Source organism: Homo sapiens, chromosome 1, assembly GCF_000001405.40.
Source record: "Homo sapiens chromosome 1, GRCh38.p14 Primary Assembly".
NCBI lineage: Eukaryota > Metazoa > Chordata > Mammalia > Primates > Hominidae > Homo > Homo sapiens.
The window spans coordinates 74402698-74429731 of NC_000001.11; the positions used below are offsets into that span (position 1 = coordinate 74402698).

The 27034-nt window shown below is 36.1% G+C and overlaps 2 protein-coding genes across 3 annotated transcripts in view, besides 1 other annotated feature; both read left to right on the forward strand.

Moving 5' to 3' along the window:
* Nucleotides 1-27034, forward strand: part of FPGT-TNNI3K (FPGT-TNNI3K readthrough) — a 346187-nt gene that overhangs the window by 204456 nt on the left and 114697 nt on the right. The gene's annotated exons all lie outside the window — the stretch shown is intronic.
* TNNI3K (TNNI3 interacting kinase) overlaps nucleotides 1-27034 on the forward strand; it is a 309042-nt gene that overhangs the window by 167311 nt on the left and 114697 nt on the right. The window lies entirely within an intron of this gene.
* Nucleotides 9568-9862: a silencer, noted in NCBI's record as "tiled region #9784; HepG2 Repressive non-DNase unmatched - State 24:Quies". NCBI's record gives its function as "represses a minimal TATA promoter and a strong SV40 promoter by Sharpr-MPRA in HepG2 cells {active_cell/tissue: HepG2}" and the evidence as "EXISTENCE:reporter gene assay evidence [ECO:0000049][PMID:27701403]".

Consider the following 27034-nt stretch of genomic DNA (forward strand, 5'->3'; position numbering starts at 1 on the left):
GTTGTAGGACTGAAGTCCCTGTTTCCCTTCTGGCTATCAGCTGGAGGCTTCCCTTATCTTCTAGAGTAAGCTTGTCCACCCCACAGCCCACAGGCTACATGTGGCCCAGGACAGCTTTGCTTTGAATGTGGCCTAACACAAATGTGTAAACTTTCTTAAAACATTATGAGTTTTTATTTTTTTTTAGCTCATCAGCTATCATTAGTGTTAGTGTATTTTATGTGTGGCCCAAGACAATTCTTCTTCCAATGGAATTTTAACAACTCTGTAGTATTCCACTCATATTCATAATATGAAATTCCATCATTATTTTTTCATTCTAATGATGATAGATATTTAAACTATTTCTGTAATAAGAATATGCTACTCTCAGCATTTTTTACATGTCTCTTGGTGTGTTCTATCTATGTGCTTCTGGGTATTTTATTTAGGAATGCAATAGGAAGATTTCCAAAGAGAAAAAGTGACCCATAATTCTGGAGTCACATCTCCTGGTTTCATTCTCATTCTGGATCATAGCCCCTTAATTCTTCACTGTATTTAGCTGTTTTCGAACCTTCAAAAAATATTTTATACAGTTCCTCTCAGAAGTAGTTTTCATCTGTTATTATCAATAGTAAAAATCTCACGGTACATCCTCTTTAAGTGATTTTAACTTATAAACATCAAGCTTGAGGTTCATAAAATAGAGTTATATTTTGTTCCAAATTTTCTAGTTCTGAAGTAACATTTGTTCTCTCCCGTGTTACTGCCAAACTTTCAGTATGTCAATACTAATTAAATTAGACATCATTGAACATAAAGTGGGGTTCAATAGACATTTGATTTATTATTATTGTCTACTATTAACATTAGATTCAAACCCATAACAAGTAATCAGAGGGGCAAAAACAATACTATACTGGCTGTAGCTACCAAAATATATACATGAAAAATGAAAATGAACCAGTGGCTTTGTTTACATAAGCTAAATATTTGTATTTGGGGACACACCTAGATAATTGACTGAAGTTTCATTCTTATATGAATCTTTGGCATCATGTATGCAAACTCATGGAACTTCTGCTCCTTGTTAAGAATTCTTGTACATAGTTAATGAGAAACATAGTTGAAAGACTTGGCTGAAGTCCATGCTAATCACATTACCATGGATAATGAAGAGAGAGCTGAGTATTTGTTTTTAAATTTTACTTCTTATGCTTCATTTTGCCTGCATCCTGTTCTTATTACCACCATTAGAGTAAATAATTGAAATTTCTTCGGTCCTTTTTATGTGTTGTCTATTTAGTAATGTGTGTTAGTTAAGAACCTGGACCCCACTGCCCACCCCAATGTCCTTTAATTTGAGCTGGATTGACTACTTCATACATAAAAAGTCAGGAGATTTGGATATAGATTGTAAGAAGAAAATGCCTCTCACCTAAGAACAAGAGGTAATGTGTATCTGAGTCACCTAGAAAGCTTTCATTAAATATGAATTATTACATCCATCCTTTTCATCACCACCAAGGGTAAATCAGAATTTATATCTTCCCCATCCCCAAACCTATCAAGACCCACAACCTTAGGAAATATTGGCTCAATATTGCTGTATGAGTTGTTTTTTGTTTCTCTATCTATTGCTCTATCCCTTCTATCTCTTCTTGCCCGTTTAATTTCATCAGGTTTGACAGCTTAACTTTTCATACCCAGTTTCTCTTAACTTGTCTCCTTCCTCCCAAGAACTTGATATCTTAAATATTTGACTGTGCTTGCTAAAATCTAAGTCACCCGTCTAATTCTCTTGGCCTATGACAGTAGTTCTCACACTTCAGCATACATCAGAATCATCTGGACAGATTGTTAAAGCACTGATTTCTGGACTTCACTCCTGAGTTTCTGATTCAGTACGTATTAGTTGGGGCCAAAATATTGTATTGCTAACAAGTTCCCAGGTGAGACTAATGCTGCTGATTTGGGAACCACACTTTGAGAACCTCTGGCCTATGCTGATCTCCCAGACTATGGACTCATTTTACCTAATTTCACTTCTCTATGCTTCATCCTCTTTATGAATCTCCTATAATTGTGGCTCTGATTCTTATTTATGTTTATAGACCACTATAATCCTGCTAAGTAAACTCCTGGTTATGATTCCGCTTCTCCTAGCCCTAAGGGGCAACCAGAGCTCTGTTAACTGATTTGATGATTGGTTGCTTCATTTATTCATATTAATTTCATCATTCAACACATATTACTTAATGCCTAGTATGTGGCAGTCGTTGACTATATAAGATTTAAAAATATTATTTTTAAGAAGTTTACAGTTTAAAAAAAGAAAGACCATTGAGTGAACTGACAATGTCAACAAAATCAGTGTTTTATGACAGTGTTAAGCATTGGCATCTACAGAAACACAGAGATGAGAGCTCTAACCCTGCCTGGAAGATAGTACTGAAGGCTTCTAGAAAGAGATGGTGGCTAAGTTTAGCTCTTAGGTGCCAGTTGGATTATTCAGGTGATGAGTAAAGACAAGGCATTAGAGACGGGGGAGCATATACAAAAAGTTGTGGAGAGCTTAGGTATCTCAGTGTGATTGATCAAAGAATATAGATATGAGTCTAAAAAAACCATGAGGCTGAAGTATGTGCCAAAATACGCAGGGTGGTTTAAACCAAGCAAATGAGTTTTGGAACTATGAGGAGTCATTAATTTTAAGCAGGTAAATAATATGACCCTCTTTACATTTTTAGAATTGAAAAGTGGTAAATAAACTAGTCTTAGGTGATAAGCAATGATCTAAGTGAATGATAATGAGAATAAACCAAAGTAGTGAAAACTGATATGCGGAGAACTAGAGAGGTTTTTAAAACTGTTTACAAAATAGCACTTAAAAGACTTCATGACACAGAGAAAAGCACCAAGGATTATCTCACTGTCTTTATGACAGAACCAACTGGCACATCAGGAGGAAAGATTAAAGAGGCTAGTTAGATGGGGGAAAAAATGAGGATTAGAGAAAATGTTCTAGAAATAGAAAGAAATAAACATGATTTCCTATGATCAACTACTGGGCTCCCTGTAAACAGCTTTTAGTGATGTTAGAATAAGCCAACTGAGGTGTTATTATTCTCTTGTGATTTTCAAAAAGTCGGTTGAATACTAATCTGAAACTTTTACATGTGAACATTGGACTTTTGCTTACTATAAGCATGTTCACATTTAGTTATATTCACGTATTAGGTTTTCCTTGCTGGTATAACAAATAACCACAAATTTAGTGCATTAAAGCAACATACATTTATCATCTCACAGCTCTATAGGTTAAAAAGCCTGGGCTAATTTATTTGCTCTGGGTTTTACAAGGCCAAAATTGAGAGATGGGTCAGTTGATCTCCTATTGGGAGGCTCTTGCTGGAAAGAACCCACTTCTGAACTATTCAGGTTGTTGGCAGAAACAGTTCTTGTGGTTGTAGGACTGAAGTCCCTGTTTCCTTTCTGGCTATCAGCTGAAGGCTTTCCTTATCCTCTAGAGTAAGCTTGTCCACCCCACAGCCCACAGGCTGTGTGTGGCTCAGAATGGCTTTGAATGTGGCCCAACAAAAATGTGTAAACTTTCTTAAAACATTACGAGTTTTTTGTTATTTTTTGTTGTTGTTAGCTCATCAGCTATCATTAGTGTTAGTGTATTTTATATGTGGCCCAAGACAATTCTTCTTCCAGTGTGGCCCAGGGAAGCCAAAAAATTGGGCACCCCTGCTCTAGAGGTTGCAATCCTTGCATGTGGGCCCCTGCATTTTACAGTCAACAAGACATTTTGAATCTGTCTCACACTTTAAATCTCCCTAACATACTTTACTGTGTCTCTTCTGCCTTCAGCTCCAGAAAGTTCTATGTTTTTAAGGCCTCTGGTGATTAGATTGGGACTACCATGATATTTCACAATAATCTCCTTATTTTAAGGCCTGTAACCTGAGTTACCTATGCAAAGTTATTTTTGCCATGTACAGTTTAACACATTTATAGGTTCTAGGGATTACAGTGTACACATCTTTGAGTGGCCATCCTGCCTACCACAGTTCCTATTAAGGCTTTACATCTACTAAGAAAACAGAAACCACAGTCAAGTGTGAATGGCCTATGCCATTTACTATTATCACTGCAGAATGTCTCCGCTGCTGTTCCAAAATGACATAAAGAACCTCCAGAAATGTCCTACATCAAGCAAATGATTTAAAGATGTGCTCTTTGCCTCGTTTCTTCCTTATCCTCTTCTGGCACTCCATTTGTCAAAGTTAGTGTCTTTGGTATCAGTGAAAATGCATTCCCATCCAAGCCTTCCAACAATAAATCTGTTGTCAATTTGAGCTATTTTTAAGCTAATGAATACACAGGATTAACATGTATATTTGAAGGCATGATGTTCAACAAAGCCAAAGTTAATAGTACAATCAGTGAAGATTATTCTGCTAAAATTTTTGCTATCTCCTCTGCACTTAAAATAAATGAAAAAATATTCAGCTAATGATAGTGTGGTTAATATATACTAGGAAGTCTACCAGGGGCTTCTAAGATTGAGAAATAATGCTATTAACTCAGAACTCCTCGGAAGATATAATTGTATAAAATCTTTTATCTTGGTTGTTTTGCTACTCTGCCATGCAGCAGGGATTTCTGCCATATCAGATACAAGGAAATGTGATTCTGATGCCTAAGTGTAAAGGAAATAGTATAGAAGTTATCAATAGAAAATTAAATTAGCATTAAATTATACAAACGTTTTTTTATTCAGGAAATAATTTTTAAGGTCCTATGATTAAAGATTTGCATTTGGCACAGTCATAGATTTTGTTGTATTGTTTTTCTGAAAATACATATTTGAGTGGAATTTGGTCTGACTCTTTCTGTCATCTTCAGATTTACACTTCTTCTCCATTTTGAAGTACTTATATATTTCCTTCATTTTGAAGTGAAGATAATGCCTGACAGCTGCTGATCTTATACTTGACTTTAAGTGAAGAGGAGATACCTGGTCTCTAAACTACATCAACTTTCTGTGCTATTTGTACAGAATGGTACAATTTAGAACCTTTTTCTAGGTCCCAGCCAAAGAAGATGGTCTAGATCTTCTACAAAGTGATGTAAGGGGATACCACTTATGATGCCTAGATAATAATATAAAACTTTAGCATTATGAAAATCACCTGCTCCTTTTGCAGACCCTACAGGTATATGCCCATGGTTATCACCAATTTTTCCTTTCAAAGTTCCATAATGTCACTCGTCCTCATAGATCACACTCATGAATTTGACCTACTATTGTGGTCACTGCTTATAACACCACTACCACTCCCATACAGTAACAATCTTTCCCTAAGAAATCTCAAGACTCCTGGAGAACCCTTCTCAAACACTTCAAGTTGCTTTTCTCTAAATATCACCACATACTTAATAGCTAGATGTGAGCACCCTTATGTCACATAAAACAATCTACCTTGTTTCCACGACAAAATACAGTGCATGGGTAGGACATTGAATGCCAAACCGATGACAATTTTCAAGTAGGGATAGGCTTCCTTATGAAGTGCTGGCTTTCAAAAAGACCTTAGTGATCACTGAAACTCATTTACATATACCACCTGTTAGCCCATGGACTAAATCAGCTCATTCCCTTTTGTGCACTCTTGCTTTCTTCTATAAAAACTGAAGTTAATATTGCTGGCTTCATAGCATTCCAGTGAATAATAAATGAAGATTTATCTCCAAAATAACTTCCACATTGCCCAATGTATAACAGATAGCTAAACAATGTGGTTCCTGCACTCAGTTCTCTCTTTCTTGTTTTTGTCAGGCTTGTGTTCTGATTTCCCCAGTTATTCATTCTTTCCAAGAAATCTAAGTCTGTGTGATACATTTCATCTGCCCACAAATCAAGTTCAGAAAAGATAGACATTCTAATTCTGGGTTCCCTGTTGATCATCAGTTACTCAAGTTAGTCACAAGTCATAGGCCTAGAAAGTTAAATCCTTCTTTATTTAGTGTACCTGGATTTTTAAAAAGCAAAAGTCCCTGCTTCAAATCCAAATGCAACATGGTAATGTATTGTCAGAATCCTTCAGACTAAGATTATAGTTTAACATTTAAGTAGATAATTTCATAACGTAGGTCTGTATAAGACATTTTGTTGTACTATTTTGTAGAAAACCTATTTAAACTCATCACACATATGCCTTAATTAGAAAAAGCTTTGTCTTCATTATGTATAAATGTAGAAGACTTCAAGAAAGATGACACTCATCTAATGCCTCCATATAACAAAAAAAAAAAAAATAGAGTCTTCTTAAAGGTACCAGAATTAACTATTCTATCAAATAAAATTACATTGTCATGGCACTTTGCAATTTATAAATACTTTTCTATTCATTATTTATTTGATCTTCTCAACATCCCTATAAGATAGAAAAGACATTTATCACTGATTTGCACTTGAGGACACTGAGGTTAAGAGAAGTTATATTAATTGCCCAAGGTCATGTAACTAGGAAGTCCAGAACCCAGTATTCAAACCTAAGTCTGACTAAATAAAGACAGAGCCCAAACTCCCCGCTGTTATGACAAAGAGCCATCCAAATCTCCTTACTCAATAAGCAGTGCTCTTTTATCTAATCTGTGTTACTACCTTGCTACCTTTTTTTGAGGTTATGTTTAAATATAAAGAAGCGTTCTTTATTGCTTTGATTTGCTTAAGATTCCATGCATAATACTTTGAACTGTGTATTCTACAATATGTAAACTATTTTATTTTCTATTTGTTTCTTTTTTTTTTTTTTTTTTTGAGATGGGGTCTCACTCTGTCACCCAGGCTGGAGTGCAGTGGCACCATCTCGGCTCACTGCAACCTCTGCCTCCTGGGTTCAAGTGATTCTCCTGCCTCAACCTCCCGAGTAGCTAGGATTACAGGTGTCTGCGACACACCTGGCTAATTTTTTGTATTTTTAGTGGAGATGAGTTTTCACCTTGTTGGCCAGGCTGGTCTCGAACTCCTGACCTCAAGTGATCCACCCACCTTGGCCACCCAAAGTGCAGGGATTACAGGCGTGAGCCACCACGCCCACCTTTTCTTTTATATTTATTATTACATTTGTGCACATCTCAAATTGTGGGGTGTAGGGATTTTATATTTTTTATTATTATTCTTTTATTGACAATTGGATAAGTTAGTGACTTTACTATGAAAGTCAATGAGTGAGGTTGCACCAAGATTCCAACTGATTCAGTGATTACTCTTAGAATCTGTAAGAAACATGGGACTTAAGGAAATAGTTTAACCCCTGATCTCTGCCAAATATGCTAAAACAAAAAGATAGTTAAGCTGCAAGAATTTAAAGCATACATGTAAGAACAATTTTGTTTTAAAATAATTATTGAGTGATGAATATAATACTGGAATTCTATATGACAAATTAATTCTGATAAAATATACAAGAGGACCCAGGCTGTTAACCACATCAATAAAGGAAGTTTCTATTTTTTAATTATATGTTGCCATTTATAGAATCCCATTTTAAATTTTAAAATTAAAGTATTATTAATCCCTAATTTCTTGTTTTAAAACTGGAACTTTAGCTGTCCCAAAGAGCTTATATTAATTTTCCAAAATCACGCAACTAGTTAATGGCAAACTGAGATTAGAACTAACATTTTCTAACTCTGATTCTTAATCCAGTGCACTTTCCACTACTCCAGGCTCCCTCAATATATGAATCTCCAAATTTTCATAACACAAATGTGTGTCTCTTGAGAAATAAGAAGATATTAATTTCTAAAAGGATAAAATAATCTAGTTTTATTTGTGTTTCACTGCTTACCTCAAGTTACACTACAATTCTTTCATTAACCTGGTTTCAGACCTTGTCTAATATTTCTCGAAGAGCTCATCAGCTGCAAAACTAAACCATGAAAGACTAGATAGAAACTTGGCATCTAAGAAGAGAATTTTTTTAAAGCCTGGTATTCCTTCTAAGATACACTAATGTAATAGCCAAGATGATGAGATAACTGTGAAAAGCCAGTAGGGGTCTTGAATTGAGATGTATTCTTTGAAAGCCTAACTATGCTCTTATGGTGCTCTCAAAATCAGTGGTGCCTTATGAGGAATCACAGCCTGAGACTGGCTTTGAATGATCTCACCAAGAGTTTCAAACAGACTGATTTCTTTCAGTGTTCACTTGTGTCCTGTGGTGATTAAGAGATTGTTGAAAAGCAAAGGTTTTTCTCTTTAACAAAGGGTGGATTATTGTGGAAATAATTTTTTTTGTCTTTGTGTAGTCATACCTTAAAGCATACATTGCATGCTAAGTTTCAGGGCTCAAAAAGTTCTAATGATCTTCCACATTTCAATTTTATACCATAAAATTGAAGTTGCTGGCAAAATGCACAGCATCACTGGTTTTATCAGCTCCCAGGCTTTTATGATGTCTATATACTGTAGATTTTTATATTTGAAGATTTCTCAATAAAAGATAATAGTGTGACAATTTCATTAAATAATAAGCATGGCTGTAAGGCCCCTGAACAGGTAAGGCTCTATTTAACTGCTAATTATCATCATTATAAACCATTTGGGATGCAGCTAAGTGCGGATACACTGAGATACAACCTTTTTATCTAAAAGAGAGGATAATAACCATGGGTAAAACTTGTTGGTTCTTGTAAGTATCAACCTGAGATAACCCTCAATTAGAAATTTTTATATACAAATGCAGCCAAAAGGGGTCTAACACATAGGTCAAATAGGTAACAAACTATTTGGTGTACATTGAAGAAGGACCCCCTCCCCCACCCTGACACACAGGTCTTGTCCAGAAATAATGGCCTTAAAGACCCCTGACTGCTGCCTGAAATTCTGCTAATGCATTTATTCACTCACATTTTTTGATTGCCTACTATGTGTCTTACACTGAGGGGATAGAAAAATGAATAAGAAACAATTGCTGCTTTCTAAAAGATAGTAAGATAGATAAAGAATGGAAACAAATAATAATTCACAACAAAGAAAATAACACGGGATATAGATAAGGTAAGGAGATATTAACATTTAAATGTTGGAGGAGTGAGCATTGAGGAGGAAGAAGAAATAGAGACAGTGAATTTGAATCTTCTCTTGAAGGCTGGACAGAATTTAGACACATAGCTATGTAGACATGGGAGAAGGGGCATTCCAGGCTGAGAGAATTGGGTAAATTAGAGTTGTTTGTTATTAAGAAATATAAAATAAAATAGTTTACATATTGTTCAATACATAGTTCAAAGTATTATCCATGGAATGTTAAGCAAATCAAAGCAATAAAGAATCCTTCTTTATATTTAAACATAGCTACAAAAAAGGTAGGAAGGTAGCAACACAGATTAGATAAAAGAGCCCTGCTTATTGAGTAAGGAGATTTGGATGGCTCTTTGTCATAACAGTGGGGAGCTGGGCTCTGATTTGTCTTCCTCACATCTAATTAAATCTCTGATTTGCATCCAGAGTAACTTTTCCAGACTATGTAATTAATTCCATTATTCTTTGGTAGATTGTTATATTAATCCCCTCCCCCACTCCAAGGAATCATGCCTCCTGGTTATCACACACTTTTGTAGTCTGTTCCTACCCTGACTGAGGACTTAGACAAGTGACTTAATTTAGGCAAAGAAACACCAGCAAACACGACACAAGCAGAGGCTTGATATATACTCATTCATAGGAATTTGCCCTCTGGAATACTGCTATTACCATGTGAGAAGCCCAAGCTGGGAGTAAGGAGGAGGACGTGGCTGCAGCCAGAGTAGGAGGTTGCTAAAGATTTGGGAGTTTTAAGATACCTATTAAATATTGTCTCACGTTGACTCAATGACATCAGGCCACATAATTTTGTACTGTTTTTTCATCACATTCAATCCTTGTTTTTCTTTTTGAGATGGAGTCTCACTCTGTCTCCCAGGCTGGAGTGTAGTGGCGTGATCTCAGTTCACTGGAACCTCCCCCTCCAGGGTTCCAGCAATTCTCGTCCCTCAGCCTCCTGAGTAGCTGGATTTACAGGCATATGCCACCATGCCTGGCTAATTCTTGTATTTTTATTAGAGATGGGTTTCACCATGCTAGCCAGGCTGGCGTCGAACTCCTGACCTCAAGTGACCTGTTTGCCTCGGCCTCCCAAAGTGCTGAAATTGCAGGCATGAGCCACCATGCCCAGCCCATCACATTCAATCTTAATCCCCTCTTCTCTAAATGTACACCATAAGTTCTCTCTTGTTCAGGTAAGAAAATATAGGTAACTCAGTGAAAGATAGTCATTGTGGGTAGAAAAGAATACAAAACAGGTGTTATTAGTGATGTCAGGTTAACAATGCCACCTTCATGAATTGATTATTGGTAATTAATTCAGTCATCTATGTGTTTATTCTTTCATTCACAGAGTAGTCATTTATTTAAACATTTATGAAAAGTTTCCCATGTGCTGGACACTGTAGGAACAGAGAAAGGAATAAGACAGGCTCTTCTAAAAAGCATAGAAATAAAAGTCGATACACTCAGGCTTGTCTGAAACAAATGAGAAATTCCTGGATATTAGTATAGAACAACATTAAATATAATTTATTCATTTTAATTTTCTAGCATCTTCTCAATACAGTCACACAATACATTGCACTTTACAAAGAACATTTCACACCTCTTCTTAATCCCAAGCTATATTAAGAAAGCTATTGTTTCTGAAATAGTGGTAATCAATTACAAAGGTGTTGTTACGGTAGAGCCACATATTGTTCCTAAATTTTAAGAATATTGTACAGTCTGATATGTTAATGTTTAAGAAATTAACTGATATCTTCTGATAAAATGTATTTAATCCACAGTATCTGTGCCATTACCTTTAATAAAACTAAAATGTAGCAACTTCCATAGAAGTTGATTGGAGGCACTTTAATTCTGTATAAAGAACGTTGCATACTTTGAATACAAGCGCCGAAAATTTACGATTATAGTAGTATTCTACATTAGACTTGGTGTTTTAGTGTGCATCCAAATTATTGTGTTATTTCATGTTATTTCTTAATAATGTTCCAAGTGTCTTTCAGAGAGAATAGAAAACAATGTGCCAAGTTAGAACAATACATAGATTTCAGTAAAATCAGTTGCAATCAGTTCTTTTAATGGTGTGATTGCAGATGATTTAACGTTGATATATTTATCATTGCATTTAGAATGCTTTAAGATACATATCATGCATTGGATTTCACAACGAGTACATCATTTTCCATGGCTATTTGCTGTATGATAGCAGAATAGGAGCACTCTACAAGTTTTCACCTCATTAAAACCTACTGAAAAAAATGAATGGATCATCAAATACATACAGAGTGACAATTTTATAACGGAGCTATTGTGTTTATTAGTGTTGCATTTGTGGCATCTGAATTAATCACGGATTTAAAATCCTATGAAATTTTTACTTGAAAATATTCTGTCCATATATAACAATCTATGCTGGTTAGTTTACAATTTTGATTAATAACAAATCATTCTGCATTTTCTCTAAAATTTATACCTTGACATTGTGATGTAAGAGTCTAATAGTGTTTCATTTTAAAGAATAAAATATGCATGGAGTTTCATATGAAGAAATTATAACAATAAAATAAACATAGGACCATTTATCTGGCATACTAATTTTAACCTTTATTACATCCAGTTATACTTGGGATTGTGATTCTGCTCATGAACTGGTGTCAAGCAACGGATGGAAAATTTTTGAGTAGTGTTGATGCCTTTTAAATTGTTGTGCTTCTCTTGCTATTCAGCAATGCCCATTTTGATGTACCTGTATATTAGCATATATAAATTGAACTTAGTTTAAAAATATTAATTGCTTGTTTTAGGGCAAATGCTATGTTGGTACAAAGGATCTACGTTGAAAAATATATCTGTTCTGTCATCATTGAACTTGAAAGCTTATAAGAAAGATAAGCAAATCAATAGGTACCAAAGACATCTAACCATTCAGGAAATTCTGTCAACTCTCTTGAATGTATGTGCAGAATTAGACTGTTTCTCACTATCGGCATCACTGCCATCTTGATCCAAATCACTCTTAATCACTCACCTGGACTATCATAGTAAATTCCTGATTCATCTCTCTGTTTCTATTCTGGCTCCTCCCAACCCTTTGTCCTAACCTCAAAAAAGTAACAAAAGTCATTAAAAAAATAAAAGTCAGATTATGTTACTCCTACACTCAAAACCTTCTAATGGCTTCCTAAATCATTTGCAATGTAAGTCAAAATACAATTGTCTAGAAGGCCCTATGTCATCTGGTCCCTGTGAAAACTCTGACAAATTCTTTCTTTCTGGTTTACTCTATCCCAGCCACGACGGGGCCTCTATTTTGTTCCTGAACACTCTAAGCATGCCCAATTTTAGGCCTTTGCACTTGCCGCTCCCTCAGGTTGAAACAGTTTTCCCCCAGCCCATATGGCTGTCCTTCTCATTTCCTTCCACACTCAAATATTATCCTATTAGTGAGTCCTTCCCTGACCATTATAGGTCAAATAGCCACCCCCACCCTTGCAGCTTTTCCTGTTTTTCTTCTACTGTGTTGTATTTTTCTACACATAGCTTACATCTCTCTGACCCATCATTCATTTATTTGTTAAAAGTTCATTGTCTTCTCATACTATATGTAAATACTGTGAGTATAGAGATTTATGTATTTTGTTCACTGCTACAGCTATGGCTTGAAAAGCTGTCTATTTTTCTAACATTTATTATTCCTGCTTTCATTGTTTTCACCTGTTATGTTTATTTGGTAAATCTTTCTTACTTTTTGAAAAATCTTTCTGTAAAAATCTTTGTCTTTTAATATTTGTCTCTAATAGAATCACATTTGTTATTATAACTTATTAAATGTTACTAATTTCTGATTTTTATACTTTCTACTTTATTGACCTTTATGCTTTATATATTTATACTTTTTTGATATTTTCTTTTTTATATCTTTCCTATATAGACTAAATTTTCTTTGTTTTTTTTTTCCCCAGTGATTTGAACAATATATATCCCGTTCTTGGTTTTAGATTATGGTCATCTTTATATTTTTATAAATTATTGTTAAATCTACTTTCTCTACATAATATGAGTGAGATGAGAGTCCTAGCTTTTTGCCAAGCTACAGCTACTACTGGTATGCAGACATTCTGGTTTGCCTTCCAGAAAGGAATATGCTTTAGATAATTGTCATGAGGAGTTTTGTGGACACAAAGAACAGAAAGAATCATCAGTGTGGGAAGGGGAAGTCTTCTAGGATGACCCAGTCTGAGACTGATCCCAGGCTCCACCTCAAAATTTCAGTTCTGAGATCTTTGGAGGAAGGTGCTGTACGTGGGAGTCACATTTACCCTTTTCACCAGAGTATCTCTGGTTCTCAAGCGTCCAAATATAGCACATGACTGGGGAAACCTCTTCTTGCTTTGGCATGAAGCATAGCATAGCACCAAAATTCAAAGACGTGAGGAGTTTAAAAAGCAGAGTCAAATTTTCAAGTGAAGGATTCATAGCAAAGTCGGGTGATAATAAACTTGTATGTCATTGTAGGCACTACCAAAAAGGGACCTTAGTGACGGGCTACACTAATGATGGAGAGTAACGAGCAGAGCTGAAGAAGGAGCTGTGGAACTAGCACAGAGCAACTGAAAAGAAGTCTTTGTTAGCATGCGTGACATAGTTTGGGGTGCCTAGAAGTTATTGGAGTAGATTCTCCCAAAAGGTAGAGGCTTTACACTAGTAGGTGTGACAGTGGGAAGGTGGCTTACATAGTCAAATCCAAGAACCAAATTATAACTTTGCATTCCCCTGATAAAAAGCAACAAAATTAATATGCTTCTGTTTCCCCTTCCTCTTCTATTCATTATTTTCCAGTGTAATTGAAATTAGATACATGAATTTTAATTGATTTTTTTTCTTATTCTTACATTAAATATCTTCTTTTTCAAGAATAATTTTTGCCCGTACGATTTAATTTTGTCATATTTACCACAATCTTTTAGAAAAATGTTTGACTGGTAGTAATGTTATCTGGAATTCTTTTATACTATGTTTTCTTCATTTCTGTCTTTCTATTTTCTACTTATTTCTTCCAAAATATATCTTTGTGGAAGACTCCATGGTGTGTGTATATTTTTAGCCTTTGAATATCTGATTATTTCCTCCCATTGTTTTTAGATAGACAAAAGACTTGACTAGGGTGTCTCCAGCTTTTACTCTCACCTGAACTCCAGAATCCTATGGCTATCTATGGTCATCTCCACTGAATGTTTAAAAGATATCTCTGTTAATATGTTATATAAGGTAATTGTGTAACATATTAACAGAGATATCTTTTAAAAATTGAAATTTCAGAGAAAAGATGAAAGAGAGAGAAATGCGTAATAATGGCATTTTGATTATTCAGGGAAATATACTTGTTCTTAGGATATATGTGATGAAGTATTAGGTGTTGTAGCAACTATGAAAATGTACTGCTCAGATCTCCTGTAGACAGGAGCAGAATTGACTGCCGTGTTGGCTATATTTCATGTACTTCCCTGTTCAAGCCAAGGTACCCTTCATGCTGCTTCCCGTCAGTGGCTGTGCACAGTAGGTGTACTAATGCAGGCCCATGTCCTCAAGAAGTGGGACCCCATTAACAGATGACTTTGGCTCAAGACTTCCCATTGGCCTGGCCAAAACTTACTTAGAAATGTGCTGCGTTCTGAAATTTTTCTCCCTAATCTCTTCTTCTCTCTGTTCTTCATAGGAGTCTCAAGTATCTCTCAGCCTTCTTCTGCTGCCCCAACCATTTGTTTCTCACAGCTCACACAATATATCTCTTGTAAGCCCAACTTATACTGGCATCTAATTCACAGAGGGTCTGAACTAACAGGGTTACATGCTATGATGTCCAAGTAGTTAAGGAGAAAAGTGTACGTGTTTGTGTGTGTGTGTGTGTGTGTGTGTGTGTGTGTGTGTGTGTGTGTGTGTGTCAGAGAGAGAGAGAGAGAGATGAGAGAGAGAAAAGAATAAAAGGAAGGAAGTAAATATCTCAAAATATTAATAATTGATACATTTAGGAGAATACTATGTGTACTCATTGCATTATTCTGTTTTAGATTTGAAAGTTTTTAAGTAAAATGTGGCTGCTAAAAAATAAAAATCTAAAAATTACAAAAAAAGATACATGAAGCTCAACATGTGTATTGATGAGACATCTATTTCCAATTTCAATGTCTATTCTCCTCAGCAACAAATCCCTGATTTTATTTGGGGCACATTGCATCCAGCCTAGAATTTTATTTCAATTAAAACATCATCTGACTCTTACATTCAAGCAATGGAAATACAAGTAAACATGTTATATGGGACTGTGGGAAGTCTTCCTAAAAGGTAGGAGGTCTTTCCTTTTCACCCTCTCCTATAGGGCTTCCTGAACTATGTATGTGATTGCTAGAGCTCAAGCAGCCATCTTTGAACATGAGGCAGTGCATCAGAAAGAGCAGAGCAGCAAGAAAGAAGGCATCTCAGTTCCTAACGAATGAAGTCACCACATCAGCCATAGAAGCCTGCCTCTAGGACTCTGAAATAAAAAAGAGAAATAAACTCTTAGTTTAAGAAGTTGTTATTTGGTGTCTTCAATTTATTTAGACAGCTCATTCTAATGCTTTTTTTTCTTTTGTGATAATTTATTTTAGAGTTCTCAGTAGTAATTTTAATCTTCAAAAACTTATTTGAGGTGATACTGGATTTCAAAAGCATTGTCAAAAGAATTTTATTATAGTCCAATGTGAATTGTCTATCTTTATTTGAATATTAAATATTATAAAGTAGTCAATTTTACATAGCAAAGAGCGTTTCTAATTGGGTAAAAATTTACGGAAAATGGTTGGCATTTACAGCTCAACCTAATCTTACACTGATATTCTGTCCAAACTAACGACTCAATTTCCATCTTAACCTCCAAAACAAAATTCTCCCTAACCCATTCTTCTAGATGTTCAAGAAAAAAAAAACACATAAAAATCATCATAAACTCCCTTTTATTTAAGTCAGTTTCTTTCTTAGATGTTTATAGGATACCTTCGGTCATTGCAATGTTTTATAATTCACTATGATATGCTTAGTTGTGGCTGATTGCTCCTACTTAGCAGGTGGGTAGTAATCACAAAGAGGCATTTAGATGCTTTCTCATAGTTCCTTCTTGTTTCTGCTGTTGCTGTTTTAAAGTTCTGGGTTTAAATTAACAAAGAATTATTTTTTAACCAGTCCATCTATATTAGTTTCCTGTGGCTTTCGTAACAAATTATCAAAAGTTGGTGGCTTAAAACAACAGGAAGTTATTCTTTCACTGTCCTGGAGGGCAGATTCAAAGTTAAGGTGTCAGGAGGGTGGTTCTCTGTCTAGAGGCTCTAGGGAAAATTCTGTTCCTTTCCTCTTGTTTCTGGTGGTTCTTGGTCATATCACTCCAATGTCTGCCTCCTTCTTTGCATCACCTTCTCCTCTGTGTGTCTGTGTCTTCTTCTTTTCAATCTCTTATAAGAACACTTGTCATTGGATTTAGGACCCATCCAGATAATCCAAGATGATCTCATCTCAAAAAACTTAATTACTTAATTACTATAAAAACCTTTTATCCAAATAAGATAATATTCACAAAGTCTGGGAATTAGGAGGTGGTCTTATCTTTTGAGGCCACCATTCAACTTACTACACTATCCATGCTACAATTAGGGGTGTTTTCTTTGAAAGATCAGCCAATCACCGATTTGTGCTATTGTGTATTGAGTGCCTATCATAGTGCTACTGTGAATTTGTGTGTATGTGTGTTTGTGATGTGTGTACATTGTGTAAGTGTTTTGTTTTTCTTTGGTGCTTCAAAAGGAAGTTTGAGGGTACCCAAAAGCCTGTGTCTACAAACTAGATATTCAGCATATATATGAAATTATATAATCCATTCTTTTTCAGGCAAAAGTTTCCATCTAGTTCTCTGCTCTCAGGCAGAAAATTTGGATAACCTACACAGGATATTATCAAAGTAGCATAACAAATGAAAATTGCTGACAAAAGCTAAATATGCTTTCATTTATGCATTAAACACACATCTCTGGGATGACTATGATGTTCCAGGAATCATGTTAAGTATAGAAATGATTAAGATACATAAATATTGTATTCACAGATTTCATAATGTATTAAGAGGGTGTGATACAACATAAATGGCTATACATCAAAGAAGAAAATAATAAGGATCTGAGGAGAGAATACATTCAAATGGCATGGGTGTTAGGAAGAGCGATAAGAGAAAAGACAAAATAATTTAGGGGAGACATGCACTTTGATTCCTTAGTATATAGATATGAAATGAATGAGTAAATAGATTTGGATGCATTTTTTATGCATTTGCAACTACAAGAGAGGTAGAAATCTGCGTAGTAAAAGCCAAAAATTAACTAGAAGAAGTTCTCCTATATTTGGAGGAGTAAAACTGCAAATAAATCATTTGCTATGTTTAAATTAATATATTTTAAAACTGCTGTTTGAAATTTAACATTTTAGAATTCACATAATTCATTCTATGCACCTATTTGTTCAAAGAAAAGGAAGAAAAGAACAATGTAGGACTCTAGAAAGACTGCCAGAGGAAGGTACTGGGATTTGCTCCCATGCAGTGTCTTCCTTGAATTTCACTTTGCCTTTGAGGATGAGAACAGGGCTTGAGAAATACTTCAAAGTGCTTCTCTGGCCAGCTATGTTTTGCCAAGCTCTCACAGCTTTCTCAAAGCTTTCAAAATTATTAAATACCAACATACATCTCCTACACTTTTACTTTATCAGGAGAGAACACTGCAAGCAGCATCACAGCCTTCAGAATTCTTTATCATGTCATTAAGCAGCTGCATTCAAACTGCAATGCTTCCACTCAAGCCATAACAAGGCAACGTTGACATTAAGATGCAATGTTCCGCAGATGCCAGTTTTAGCAATAGCTATAATAAGTGTCAGAGAACATTATCACATGGTAACTCTTTAAAGTTGGGAATGTGACTTTTATCAATCTTTGAAACTAACTGATTTCAAATTTACATGCCACCTTAGATAGAAAAGAATGGCTGCTTCTTATCTATATTGTCAGGAATTTTAATTAGTTTTGTTCTTTTTCTTATCTTAACCCATTTATGCTAGAGGTTGCAATTTTTTGAATTTTTGCATGAGTGAAAAATCAGACCTTGGCGATGAACTTCAGCAGCATGATATAAATAACTCCCACATGCTTAGCGTTCCAATAATGGAACACTAGGAATAAGTGGGTTTAAAAATATCTTTTCTCTATCCATAGTCAGCATCAGTTACTTATCTGCTTTTAGGTGGAAGAGCAATTACTGGAATTGTCTTGAGTCTCTATGAAGTTTAAAGGCTCTTCCTGATATTTGACAAGCCCCAGAACACTGCCAGCATGAATAACGTTTACTGAATGTCCAGTGTGTAAAAATCAAAATCAAAACCTTACTGACTTCTAATTGCGAAGATTTAAAGAACTGAAAGGATGATTCATGTTTTAAAGGTGTTTACAGCCAAGTGGGCGTTCAGAAGTACACATAAGTGATGAATGATTACATTTGTATAGTGCTTTGCAAATTACTAAAAGGTCTTACAGACTTATTCCTTAATCTTTACAATAATCTGGCAAGGTAGCTCTTAGAGATAAGAGAAATTGAGGTAACATATTTAGATATAAGCAATTTGAGGTAATTTTTTAAAAAAGAAAAGCTATTTATTGGTAGAGCTGTGGTAAAGTCTAAATCTTTTTTCTCTAAATTCACTGTTCTTTCTACACTATAATATGAATTAAATGCTGTAAGAACTTAAACCAGAAAGAAAAATGATTGCAAAATGAGAAAATGGTAGATACTTCACAAGGATGAGTGGCTTAGCTTGATTGCTAAGGATAAGAGGACTGACATCACCCGAATATCTGGCAGGGGTAAAGACATAAGCCATTCTGTGTCATTGAGGAAGGGGATGTGCTGGGCCTTCTCAGGCCCACTGTGTAGCATACCACCCTCAGCACTCTTAACATGGAATGGCCTCCTGGTCACCAAACTCCCAGGTTTTCAACTTTCTGAATGCATTTTTCCAAGTTGGTTAAAATTTGAAAAACCAAGAGTCACATGCAACTTAGGGAGGAAAGAAGAGCCCTGGATTGCTTTTATTATTATTATTATTATTATTATTATTATTATTATTATTATTTATTTTAGATTTTTTCAGCACAATTACTTCTTTTTAGAAACCTACTCCTCATAATAAAGGGCATTTTAAATTGAGGAGATAAATATATACTCACTCACAGCCTTTAGAGCCATAATGTGCTAATACCTTCTACAAGAGTTAATGTCTTCAGGAGATTTCTACCTAAGGTTATGTATTCTTGTTCTCACTATTTAAGAGTGTTCACACATCCCCTTTACCGGAAATAAAGTGAAGGTATATGTGTATTTTTTATCACTCTGTGAGGAATATCTCATTTGATTTTTTTATTTATATCCTATTAGAAAGCAACCAATTAATTCTCCAATGCAGGTATTTCATTTCCATTATTTATTTCTTTACTGAAAAAACACTATATGTCAGGTTTATGCTAGAGGATTTTTTCCACAAGTATTATTTAATTTCATCTTTATTAAAAATCTCACATTGCTAAAGAAGAGAAATGTGAAGCTCAGTCAATTAATTTCTTCCCCCAGATCACTCAGTGAACTAAATGGCAGAGCTGATATTTGAACCCAAGTCTCCACTTCACAGTCCCTTACTCATTCCACATTCCACAAGAGCTCTCTAACCAAACTTCAAGTGCCTGAGTTTAGGGCCACTTCAACTCATCATCTGCTGGAGACCAGCCACTGAAATTAATGTTTGCATTTGTTTTCTTGACTATACAGGGTATGTGGGTAATCTTTATAAGATTCTTGTTTCCATTACCATGGAGTTAAATAGAACAGCTATACATAAATCAAGACAAAAAAAAACCCACTAAATTCTTTAGGAACAAAATGTTCTTCAGCAGGGATAAAGCACAGAATACAAAGTATCCACAATGTGCTGGATAGCTCGTAGACATCTTTAGAATACTAATCATGTGTCACTTCCATGATGCATACAAAGTCTCAGCAGCTATTGGTAAACTTGGATAAAATCACTGGGTAACTTTCGGCTTTGTCTCAGTTGGTGGATTCATGAGTAACCTGATCACATAAAGACATCATCATGAAATATGCATAGGGTTGAACTGTTTAGTCACACATCACATTTTCTATTAACACATTCTCATTAGATTTTCTAAACACTCTCAGGGTAATTCATCCTTTCACGCTTCAGCTTATCTCCTCCTTCAGATGCCAAAGGTCGCTTCCACCACCACTTCCCCTCCCAGCCCTCCCACAGGTACACACCTCACCTCTCCCCTTCATGTGGCCCTCTTTCTTTTGTCTCTCCATGTTCCAGACTTTTCCTTAATCATCATTTTTTTGTGCCCTTTGTTGCACATACTTTCTGTAGCTTATAGACTGCGCTCTTCTAACACTCATTCTCCTTACTTCCACTAAAAACAATATTCAAAGCAGATGTTCCCAAATTAATTCAACAAATTAGAAATCTAGGCCATACTTTCTAATTTAACTTGATTTAAATCATTCTGTATGACCCTGTCAAAGCATATGTGGAGGAAAGTAAATGAATTTAGAAACCAGAACAATGTGGATTCTAATCATAATTCTGACACTTTATCAAATGTGTGACCTTATACCTCAGTTGTAAAGATGAAGTATTAATATTACCATATAAGGTTACTGTGGAGACTAAATGAGATGAGGCATTCAAAATATCTCGCTGTGTTACCATACCGCAGTTGCTTAACCTTTCTTTGATTACATTTCTTCATATGGTTTAACTGTTTAGTCACACATCACATATTCTCCTTACACATTCTCATAAGATTTTCTAAGCACTATCAGAGTTATTCATCCTTTCATGCTTCAGCTTATCTCCTCCTTCTTCATATGTAAAATTGCATAATAATTATATATCTCATTGGGTTGTGTGAATATTAAACTGGTTAACATATGTTGCTTACAACTATGCCCCGCACAGAGTAATACTTATCATTATAATTACTTAATACCTAACATCATGTCTACCATTGAAAGGAGAGCTCCTGTAGTTCTACAAATGAGATATTAGAAAACAAAGTCTTAGATTATTGATTTGTCAAGTGGAGATAAGTGCACACTATCGAATTGAGTAATACCTAAAAAGCATAATGGACACATTAGAATAGATAAGAAAATAGAATTGTTAGGACATGGTGACATTTTATGAAGGAGCTGAGAAAGAGGGAGGAATCAAGAACAGCCCCCAGTTTTTATCTGGGTAACTAAATTCATGGTGATGTCCTTCACTAAGAGAAAAGAAACAAGCTTTGGTTGAAAAGAAGGAGGGCTCAAAGGCATTATGTGGTATGATATAAAGCCTAAAAGATTCCACTGGATTTAACCACACAATAGTTTACGTTGAAAAGGTTTATTGGAGTAGTAAAGACAAAATGAGACTGTAGTGGATTGAAGAGGGGATGGTCAGTGAAGATGTAGAAGCAGAAAACCCTTTAAGAATATTGATTATAAAGAAGAGAGAAATAGAGGCTGGACACAGAGGCTTGCACCTGTTATCCCAGCACTTTGGGAGGCCAAGGTGGGTGGACCACTTGAGGTCAGGAGTTTGAGACCAGCCTGGCCAGCATGATGAAACCCCATCTCTAATAAAAATATAAAAATTAACCAGGCATGGTGGCAGGCACCTGAAATTCCCACTTCTTGAGAGGCTGAGGCAAGAGAATCCCTTGAACCCAGGAGGCGGAGGCTGCAATGAGTTGAGAGATCTTGCCACTGCACTCCAGCCTGGGTGACAGAGTGAGTCCATCTCAAAAAAAAAAAAAAAAAGAGAGAGACATAGTATGTTTCTCAGAAGGTTGCTTTGAAGAGTCAAGATGTAATATCAGTAACTATATTGATTATTCACAACCATAATGTTTCTTGAGCTGCTATAATTTGCTCAGATTGTAGGGGACAAATGATACAAAGTGGCTTAAGAATAGTTTTAATCCACCTGGAGAAATATGAGATCTGTGCAAAGAGAAAAAAAGTAGTAAGAAGAGAGAACATATACTAAGTACCAAATGTATGGAACTGAAAATAGTTATAACCATTTAGTCTCAATTGGTGCAGGCTAGAATATTTGGGTAAAGATTCAAACAGCAGGCAAGACAAGCTTGTTTTAAAATAAGGACGAGGAAAATGTTGGTCAGGAAGGGCATAAGGCAGAAGTCATTGGTGTGAGTAGAGCTTCAGGCAGAAGGGCCTGGCTTAGGCATGGCAGTCAATGATTAGAGGGATAAAGTGAAGAGTGTTTATTCAGCTCATTTCCTCATCTTTACTGGAAAGGTGAGTTTATTGGAAAGCTGTGTCCTGCACAATATCCAGCAATGTAGTAAAAGCCAAATAAATATTTCATAAATATTTATTGAGTAAATGTTGAATATATAGAAAACCTGTAGATAAGAATTTTCCTGGAGTAACACTAAAAGGGAAAAATTAAGGTTTTAAGTCTCAGCAAGTTTATTTTGAGTCACAAATTGGATATTTATACAAAATATGAAATAACAATTTGGTCTGATAACTAACGAATTCAATTCTAGGGAAAGTTACTGCTAAATATAACCACCACATAAAATTCTCCCATTCTTCTCATTCTTTCTTGCCCTTTACTCCTCCAGTGTCAGGAATACATTTTAATTCAGTATGAGTTTGTTGGTTACCAATAACTCCCCTGGCATGGTTCTTGCTTCGGTGGAGCTTCTAACCTTACTGGAAACAAATACTATGAAAGCCGGGATGAGAAGAAATAATCGAGCAGCGTCCTGAAATATGGGGATATTTATTTAGAGAAAAAGTTGTAAGTAAATTCAAACTTGGAGGAGACACCATGAACAAAGGGAGGGAGAGAAGCAAGAAGGAGCTAGAGGGTATTCTGGGGACAGTCACACAGCATTGACGAAGGGTTAGAGCTAAAATAGCCCTAAACCATCGTGGTTGATAACTTCCATTCCTGTGACTAATACTTCTAGCTCACAGGGATAGACTGTCTGGTGTCTTGAAAAAAATAAACAGCTTCTCAGCAACTGAAGAGACGCTGAAAGGTTCAGTGAATTTAAAAAAAAATAGTTATGTTCATTTCTTGTGAATTTTCAAAGTGTCCTTGATGGAAGGCATATGGGACTAAGTACATTTTTAACCTGCCCTTTTGCAGAGACATGGGCATTTAGTTTCCCTGTGTTCGCTAAGGGGAGATGGAGATACCATAGTAAAAGCTATAGTTTCAGATTAGTCCAGTAGGTAAAAGCAGTTTCCTTTCCTGAGTTACCAACAAATCCCCACTTTGCAAGGAGCTGCAAACAAATTCCCCTGAAGTCATACTTTTAAAAACACTCATTTGTGGCTCCTTCTGAGAGGTTAAAAGAAAACACTCCTTAGAGGTCAAGCTCTGCAGGAGCAAAGCCTCTGCTCGTCAGAGATAGAGCTGCTTTGCCTGCTCTGTTGGGGTTGCCCAAGTCTGAGGCTTCTCTTCTTAATACAGAAAACCTTGTTCGTTGATAAAGCCCAGCTCTCCTCACAGCTGTTATTTTTAAGCTCAGCCCTCGTCTGCTTGACACATGTACACCTACGCCAGGGTCTTCTAACAGGAAACTTGGCACACAAAATGTCAATGGCATCTCTTTTTTTCTATCTTACTCGTCTTTCGTATAGTTCTTCCTTTATTCTCTCCTCTCCCTGGCCTTGTTTTGTTTCCCTCACCTCCCCATTAGTGTCTAGGATTTAATTTTAACATGCAGAGATGGACAGTATTAACAGACCTTTTATGTCTGGATGTTGAATAGGTGCTCAGAAGGTCCCTGGCACATTGCCAGAGAGTTATTCTTGGATCTGGTTTCTTAAATGTAAGTGAGAAGAATCCGGTGACACTTCTGTGCAAATAGATGCCCTGTAGTTAGTGCCTTTAGCATCTGTATCTCCACATTTCACATAGGCTGTAGACATGCTTAGATCCTCAGTTCAGGGAAAAAAGAGTAAGTAATATAGGAAAAAGAATAGTTGTTAGTCAAATGATTCATTAGGTGGCCTTGGGAGGAAAAACAGCTCTTCCTTTATAGAATAAGGGATCATTTAATGATCTTTTCCTTTCAATTCTAAAATATTGCTTGCTATATCTCCTTTTTTCTGTCTGCTACATTTCTGCTATGTAGATTTTCATATTGTTTTCCTGCCTGTCCTTTGTTCTGGAAGACTTGTGTTTGCTCATCACATGTAAATGTCCAGTGCATTTCAGGGCTTTATGTACAGAGTAGGGATTGCATAGAGACTTTATAATTTTTAGTATATTCAAAACTGAATATTCAGAAAGGTGGCTAGGAAGCAGTATTTATGTAATAGTTAAAGAGCAAAAGTTGGAAACTTTTTTTTTTTTTGGCTTGATGACTTTATTTTAGTAATCAGACTAGCTAATTATTACCTTTTCATACTTAAATGTAACATATCTTTTGCCATCTTCTTTATTCTCTAAGGTTTTGACTATATGCTTTATGGGAAAAAAATCTCCCACATTGTTCACCTGTGACCACCAAATCCAAGTTTCACAACCAATTGTTGGAAGTCAAAAACCTCTGTTCATCCACGGTACCAATGCACTAGAGAAATGTTAGTCCTTATGAAGAAAAATTGCCAATTTTGTTCCAATATCCTTCCTCCCTTTCTCAATTTTAAATTTAAAAAAACAAATTATATATAATGAATACATAGCTGTCATCTCCTGTGTTGTTACCTTGATCGTCACTTCAGCATTCAAAAATGTTACATTTTGCAGTTTGCATACCTAAGATTCTTCATAAGATTATACCATGTTAAGATGAATAAGAAATGACTGTAACCATACATAGAAATGAAAATTATACTTGCTTGTTCATTCTAGAGCACTTGCTCATAGAAACCTCAGAATCAATAGCATGCATGTATGTGGTTAGATTTATTTAGTCATTATCACTCTTCCACTTGCTTTTTATGGTGCTGAGCAAATAGTAAGTGAAGAGTATGAGGTTTTTTTTTTTTCACGTTACCCTCAATAAATGGGTTTAACCACAATACAAATCTTATAATCCACCTCTTCAATCCCACTGGCAGTGGGACAAATCCACTAGCTTTAGAGGTAAGCCTTCAAATATACTTCTACTGACAGGTTGAAGTTTGTTTTAGGAAAAATCAAGGTTCTACAATCCTTTGCATTTATTGGAGTTTTCAGTTTCCATGGTTTCCAAGAGTTCACTGAAATTAGGCTTTCCATGTTTAGAAGTCATGATAGGGGCTTTGGTAAATTCCTTTTCTCTAACCTAGATTATGTTTAAGATCTGTGTATTGCTATTCCTGGATGAGTATTGGGAGCTATTGAATGGTCAACACAGCTCTTCACCTGCATACCTCCTCTACAGAACCAAGGGTATATACGAGGAATTTCAAGGCAATCTATATGAAGTCAAACTAGGGTTGTTTTCTGGGATCATAAAATAATAACATCACAATTTGTATTTGTAGTGAAGAACTGCCTTCAAAGGGATTAATGGGGAAGTCTACATTTGAGGTTCTCTGGCCTTTGGTAAGGAGGGGAGTGCCCTGATAAAATAACGTCTAAAAAACAGACTTCCATAGGCTTCATTTATCTTGAAGAAAATTCTTCTGGACATGGTAGGAGTCTGAAGTAGTTTATGTTAGGCCCCAAGGTACACGGAGGTGTCAAGAATGTAGGATGAAGTGGCCTGAAGCAGGGGCTCATGCCTGTAATCCCAGTGCTCTGAGAGGCCAAGGAGAGAGGATTGCATGAGGGCAGGAGTTCAAGACCAGCCTGGGTAACGTATTGAGATCTCATTTCTGCAAAATGTTCAAAAATTAGCCAAACATGGTGGTGTGTGCCTGTAGTCCTTGCTACTCAGGAGGCTGAGGTGGGAGGATTGCTTGAGCCCAGGAGTTCGAGGTTACAGTGAGCTATGATCACACCACTGCACTCCAGCACTCCAGCCTGGGCAACAGAGTGAGACCCTGTCTCTGTAAAAACAGAATGTCGGGTGAGGCTTTATTTGGCCATGAACTTAAAGTATGCGATATCTCATGTTACTGTACAATTGTTATTATGTTTCTATCTGCAGCCCAAATTGTGAAACAGCCTCAGGTAGTTCCTGACAGTCCAGTTACCACATAATATACATGAATAAGGAGCTAATCTCCCTGAGCCCAAACGTACTGTCTCTGTTATCCTGGGGCTCAAAACCAGGACCTCCAGCAGTTATCCTCAAGAAGATAATGACTTTATGATCAACAATTGTTACCTAGCTATGTAAGAAGCAGAGATTAGATAAGTAGGTAGGTAGATAGATAGAATCAAATAAGAAAAAGACCAAAATAGGAAGCATATGAGACTATATTTGCAACTACAAGGAACTGATCTAGATGACTTGGAAGAGTTTTTTAGGAAAGGGTACAAAGATCCAAAGTAAGTGGATGTGAATTGCACCTCAAGGGTCTAATCAGCTCCTTGAAACAAATTGGAATCAGTTCAGTGTATGGGAGTCTTATGTTCAGGTATCCCATTGAGTTTGGCAGTGGCAGCTGCCAAAAGTTCATGAGGGGTTTTCAAGGAAGACTCAAGAGAAGAGAAAAATGTAGTTGCCTATGCTGAAGGTCACCAAGGTAAGACTCCCCAGAAAGGTCTGTGGCAGGAAGAGAGTTCTGAGCCATCACATAGCTCTAAGGGCAAAATATGGCAGCCAGCAGATCGGAAGACCAGGACTCCTTAGCATCAGGTTTGAATGATTGCCTGTCAGGCAGATGTGTTTGT